Genomic DNA, 6,704 nt, shown 5'->3' with positions numbered 1-6,704 from the left:
CAGGGCGCAGTGGCTCACGCCTGTAATCCCAGCACTTTGGGAGGCCGAGGTGGGCGGATCACAAGGTCAGGAGATCGAGACCATCCTGGCTAACATGGTGAAACCCCGTCTCTACTAAAAATAGAAAAATTAGCCAGGCGTGATGGCAGACGCCTGTAGTCCCAGCTACTCGGGAGGCTGAGGCAGAAGAATGGCGTGAACCCGGGAGGCGGAGCTTGCAGTGAGCCCAGATCGCGCCACTGCACTCTAGCCTCGCGATAGAGACAGACTCCGCCCATCTCAAAGAAAAAAAAAAAGAATATAATTAAATGGTTTTTTAAATTGTTTGTAACACAAAGGATAAATGACATTCTCCATGATGTGATTATTGTGCTTTGCATGCCTTTGTCAGAATATCTCAGGTACCCCATAAATACGTACACCAACTATGTACCTACAAAAATTAAAAATTTAAAAATTAAAACAGTATTATGGTGGGTAAAAGAAACCAGGTTTAAGTGAATAGTTTCTGTGTGATTTCATTTATAATAAGTTCCAGAACAGTTACAATTATTTCATGAATATAGAAGTGCAATGCTAATTGCCAATCCCAAGCAAGGACTCCCACTTCCTGGAGAATAACAGTAATCAGCACTCTGCCCATCACCAGAAACAGGAGTCCCACTATATCTTGGGCTACTATTTAGGTCCATCACGCTTTAGTTACCTATTTGTCTGAGTTCAATGAGACAGAACACACCAACACACAACAAGTTATGTGAAGTCGGTTTATTACTTAAAGATGGGCAGCAAGGGACAGACAAATCTCTTTGACCCAGGCCCCCAAGTCTCAAGAAAGCTGTACAGGGTAGATGGTATCTTGACTATGTTTGACTCCCTTTGATGACGGATCCTGAAAGGCAGCCCACCCTAGGTTATATGCCTCAGGTGCCATCTGACGCATGGGGCAAAGCTTCGAAGGACCTCCTGCCTCTCTACAGGGAGAGGTTGTGTGGCAATGGGGAGGTGATAATGGAGGTGGGAGGTGATAGTAAAGGTGAATGGCAAAGGGGGAAAGGAAGAGAGAAGGTTTAGGAAAGGAAGGGGAAGAAATGAGAGTTCTGATGTACCTTGAATGTACATCTCGATAGGAGTAGCAGTGGCTGTGTGAGAGCTCGGTGAATGTCACAGAGGCCGGGAAGATCCTTGTTTGCTATCTCCTAATAACAGTGTAAGGATGTAGTTTGTAAATGCCAAGAAAATCACAATGGTTGAGTTTGAAGTGGGCACTGCCTGCTGGTAGAAATAACTTGGTGTCCGTAGAGAAAAATCTTCAGTATCCATCATCCATTTAATTGCTATTTCTGCTTAGTCATTCTCCGGATACATGGGAATTTTAGATAAAAATATTGTGAATTTTTAGCTGAAGGCTTTCTAGTGTACCTGAACTAGTTAAGCAAATTAAGATTCTAGAATGTTCCTGCTTTAAATTTTACTGTACAGGAACTCTTGGGGCAGGTTTCTTGGAATATGGCCATGCCAATAATCCCAATAATAGAAGAAATCCATTGTTCAGAACCACTATTCTCTGACTGAGGGAGAAGCCAAGCTGAAGACACCAGAAAGGATCACACTAGTTTAGTCTTCTTAGGTTAATGCGAGGGCAGGGGTATTGTCAGGACAGACACGGAAGGGAAGCAAGGGCCAGCAGAGTGTGAAGGATGAGCAACATTGGGGACATTCCAAAGCGAGACCTCAGGAGGGCAAATATCTTAGAGTTTAAAGTTACAGTAATTGTAGTTGCAGCATGTATGAACATAAGTCCGATTCCTGAGATCAAATGTCATGTCTCTGCAGAATTTCTGACACACCATGTATGATATCTGGAGAGTATTGCCTAAAATAGGAAAGAACCACAGAAAATAAGCATTTGATTTAAGCTCTCCAAGGTGAGTCAAACCCAGCACTAGTTCTGTTGGTGAAAATTTAATTAGGGTAGGTTGAGGAATGGCTTCCCAGCTTATACTCCCTAAAAGCACCCAGGCAGGGAGATACAGAGGCCACTGATCAGCTGCAGGGCTTGTTTGCCTGAGGTCCCTGAAAATCCTCAACTCTATGTAGCTGCTTCATTTTTCTCTCTTGCTAGAAGATTAGCAACTAGTGATTTAGTGTCTTCAAAGTCAAAATCTGTTTAGTCATTAACCAGACTGTCTTCATCCTCTCCTTCCACCACTCTTCTCAGCCTTTGGTAACCACCACTCTAGTCTCTACCTCCATGACATTAACTTATTCTTTAGCTCCTATACATGATTAAGAACATGGGATATTTGTCTTTCTGGGCCTGGCTTATTTCATTTAATATAATGACCTCCAGGCTCACCTCTGTTTCTGCAAAGGACAGAATTTCATTTATTTTTATGGTTGAATAATATTCTATTGTGTGTATATACCATATTTTCTTTATTGTATATTTCAAAATAGCTAGAAGAGAACATATAGAATGTTCTCAATACAAAGAAATGATAAATGTTTGAGGTGATGAATATCCAGTTACCCTGATTTGATCATTACACATTGAAGGCTTGTATGAAAAATCACATATACTCATAAATATGAACAATTGTTATGTGTCGATTATCAAAAAAAAATCTGTTTGGTCAGTTTTCTTGGAAATATAGAATCCCCAAGTTCTCCCTCCTGTCTCATTGACCCAAATTATCTTCTGTCTGTATGCACAGGGACCTGTGCTACCACCTGTGCTCAGGGGCATTCTGCATTGGTTCTTCTCTTGAGATGTGAAATTGCTGAAGCACTATCCTAAGAATTCTAAGAATCTTACAACACCTTCCCTGACCCTCTAACTTACGCTGGTAAATCCTTAAGAGCATGCATGCCTCGCCCTTCTGAGCAGTACAGACACCAAAGCCTCTTCTACAGCGGTCTGTCCGTGTGCGAAGGTGGCATGTTATGCACTGAAGTGATGTCACTGCTGGAGAGAGCATAGAGATGGTGTGAGACTAGGCAAAAGCAGGGACTTGGGATGGAGTTAGAAATATTCAGATGGAGGTGGGGAATGAATAGTGGAGGGGGCAGGCAGATGAAGAGCTACTGGTTGGGGTATTTAGGCGGTAAACAGTTGGAGCTCTTATCAACTCCTCATTTCAGAGTAATAAAAAGAAAATGTCACCAAAGGATTCTGACCCCACCTTCAGCCCTTTTAACCTGGATAACTTTAAGCAAAAAGTTAGCCTCCATGTCATTGACTTCTCTAGCTTAAAAATGGTGCTATGAATGCTAGCCTGGCCTACTAGAGATATGGGTGTGATAAGGAGGGTGAGGGCTTTAAAACATTTCACCAAAGCTATTGTTACTATTGTTAGGTGATATATTCTGTTCTTTTGAGCTTCAATCTGAATCTACATAAAGGCATCATCAATAATAGTACCATAAGTGACACTTTTATGAGGTTCTGCGGGGTGAGCTATTCAAAATACAGGTTTAATTTAAAAAAATTTCCCTAGTGCACCTGAATGAGAAAGGAAAGTAGCAATGATTGAGCATCCCATTTGGGCCATGTTCTCTCAAGTTGCATCCGATTTAATCCTCGCAAAAGCCTTGTAAGCAGGCACCATTGTCCCCATTTCTTGAATGAGCAACCAAAGGTACAGAGATTTTGAGACCGTGACTACAAACCATGAAAAAAATCTGTCTGATTCCAGAGCATTCAGTACTTCCTCTCATAGAATTACTTGTTGTAATATAAAGTCTCTGAAAAGGGTATCAAAAGCCATTGTTCACTCCTAAAATAAACTGAAAATTATTCATTATAGACTGACCAGCTCCATCAACAAATGGGATATAGGTTTACAAATAAAAAGGATGTCCTAAGGAAAATCTTGCCAGGGCTTGGGATTATGGGGAATGGTAGGGACAGAGGGAGAAAATGAGTTAAAAGGGCAGGACAGAGGCCTGCCCATCTGGAGGAGAATGGCAGGAGGCTGAAAAGGATGGAAGAGTTGTCAGGGAAGGCAGAGGAGCATTCTGGAGGCTGGCTTCCCCTGGCTCATAAAAGTGGCCAAAGCTCAGCCCTGCATGGATGCATGCTACACATGTAGTTTCCCTGGAGCTCCCTAGATCCTGTCTCTCAAGTATACCCCTCAGGTCCAGGACTCACCCACAATGAGGCAGTAAAGGAGGAAGAGGAACAAGAAGTGTTTGTTCATCCTGACCCGGAAATCCCTTGTGCAGGAAAAAGAAGCTAGGGGCTGCAAGCACAGGTCTTTAGGCTCCAGAGAGAAAACTTTCTTCTTCGTCAGAGGCTAGTGATTATTCATGCCTAGGGAGAGCCTGTCACACAAGGTTTCCTCTTGGAGCTCAAGTTCATTGGCTGTCCTCCTCAAGGCAGAGAAAAAAGAAAATTAATAAATGTTGAGGTTTGCATGGAGCTAACCTTTTTAAAAACATATACTTTTGATATTATTATTCTTATCCCAATTTCAAGAGGAGGAAACTGAGGCTTGTTGAGGTTCCAGAAGCTTACCCCAGGTCACATATCCAGTGAGATAGTGCTGTTACTCAAAGTATGACTTCCTAATTCTAGAGTCCACGTTTCACCACCGTGATTCAATGCCTCTCTGAGATTTATTCATACATTCAACAAATATTTGTTGAGAAATTGTATATACAACACAGTTACATGAGTAAGACCAAGCAATGAATAAGGCAGACAAGCTCACCTGGCTCCTCACATTATGGGTAAGAAACCAGAGAGTGAGAGAGGAAAAGATATATAGTCTGTGACCAAGCTTGACCTTCCACTAGAACGTTTGATTCTCAGTCGAGAACTCTTCTACTTACAAGAAATCTGTCCTTCAAGGCCAGCGACTGTTTACTTTGTAGAGCCATTAAATCCTCTCTAGAATTATTCCATGACTTGATCTTTAGCAAATTTATATTTTGAATCTGGCTAGTTTTTTGTTCATGATTTAGATGTCTATCTTTATGAAAGCTAACTCAGTTAAGATTCACTATGGGTAAAGTACTAGAAAACCATGACCACTCCTGGCATTCTAAGTCTCCTAAACCACCAGCCCAATGGCTGATGGTGCTTGGTTAGAGATACTAGAAGTATTCCATATTAAACTGATTTAACAACATGTTCTTTAGTTGTAGGAATGATATGATCATTGAAATATATTGAGTCTGACATTTTTTAGACATCAGATGAAGATTGGGTAAAATATGATCTTATGTTAAGTGTCACAAAATTTACAATGTTTCTTCTCTATGAACAAACAGAATACGGAGCCCACCTTTGCCTAAGAAGAGAGCAAGAAGTCTTAGACACTTACACATGAGGGAGCTGGTTCCTTTGAAATAATAGATTCCAGAATGGAGAGTAAGGTTGTGAGGCCTTTGGATCTAGTTTTCTACTCTGCCATATTTTAGAAGAGGGTGTTGAACACTGGATAGCATTTTTGAGAACATTCCCAGGCTTATCAAGAAGACAAACTTCTGAGCCTTTGCAGCCTGGACTTACCAAGTTATTAGGGTATTTCATTTGTCACTTGTTTCCTCTGCTTTATCCTCTATTTAAAAATTACCTGCTGGGTATAATGTTCACTCTTCAGGTGATGGGTGCACTAGATGCCCAAACTTTACCATTTGACTATCTGTCCACATAATAAGCCTATGTATGCACTCCCTGAATCTATAAAAATAAATATAAAACATAAGAAAATAGAGAGAGGGAGCAGCACTAGAATCAGAGCAAAAGAAGCAGACATTCTAGGTTAAACTGTGGTGGAGTTTTTTTCTTCTTCCTTCAAGGTTCTCCTTGGCAGATGCCTTCTGAAAGGCCAATTGTGTTTTGAATCTCCATTGTACTGATTATTTCCAGTTAAGATTGTAGAATTTTGCAACTCTACCCAAATGTTGGAGTCCTCTGACCTACTTCTCAGCCTCCCACAGTACCTCATCCATCACATTTTCTCTTGAAAATAATTTCTTTCTTCATTTATCATGGGGTAGGAGAGAAGAAGGTGTTAGAAACTATTAATAGAGGTAGTGTGGCATAATGGAAATAGCATTTTCCTGAGAGTCTGGAGACCTGTGCCTGATCACTAGATAACTCATTATGTCTTCAGCAAATCGTTTATCTGTAATATCAGATTTTAATCATTTTAAGGGCCCTTTAGAACTTTAACATTCTGTGGTTCCACGACATACGTCATGAAAATGGGTAGCAGGTTCTGTTATTCTGAAGTTCCTAGCACTCTGCTTGGCACATGATACCACTACCTGTGATGCCACTGTCATTGGCCACAGCACCCAAATTGATGTGCCCCCATGCCTAGAAAGCCCTCCACTCTGAATAGATGCTCTTTGTTCTGCTCTGAGGAGGAGGAACGAGAACATCGTGTCTTCATGTTCATGGTCTTTCTTGGCTCTCTTGGCTCCAGGGTGGGTGACTGAGATCTTGGTGATAGCACAGATGAGCAGTCCCGTGAACTTGTCTTTCTAAGTGCTGCCTTTTATTTTAGGGAAATGGACTTTGGCATAGAGTCAGGGATCAGGCTGCTTTGTTCCTGGGTTCCCAGGGGCAGCATTGGTTTTTCAGAGTGTATACGAGGAACAGAGCAGGAGATAATGGCCCTTTAAAAATATCTAGTGGAGGAGTGCCTACTTGCAGGGCCCAGGAAAAACACCTAGAGTATACATCCAGC

General features: G+C 41.5%; 1 protein-coding gene across 1 annotated transcript; it reads right to left on the bottom strand.

Moving 5' to 3' along the window:
- Positions 1-753: 753 nt before the first annotated feature.
- Positions 754-4,227, bottom strand: PATE3 (prostate and testis expressed 3). Its single transcript, NM_001129883.4, has 3 exons — positions 4,154-4,227; positions 2,846-2,968; positions 754-1,876 (listed from the first exon to the last, which is right to left on the bottom strand). The coding sequence occupies exons 1-3, from the start codon at positions 4,200-4,202 to the stop codon at positions 1,752-1,754; spliced, it is 297 nt and encodes a 98-aa protein (NP_001123355.3). The 5' UTR covers positions 4,203-4,227; the 3' UTR covers positions 754-1,751.
- Positions 4,228-6,704: the final 2,477 nt, after the last annotated feature.

This window comes from Homo sapiens, chromosome 11, assembly GCF_000001405.40.
Source record: "Homo sapiens chromosome 11, GRCh38.p14 Primary Assembly".
Classification (NCBI taxonomy): Eukaryota; Metazoa; Chordata; class Mammalia; order Primates; family Hominidae; genus Homo; species Homo sapiens.
The sequence above is the reverse complement of the archived record's forward strand: the minus strand, read 5'-3'. Positions and strand labels throughout refer to the sequence as shown.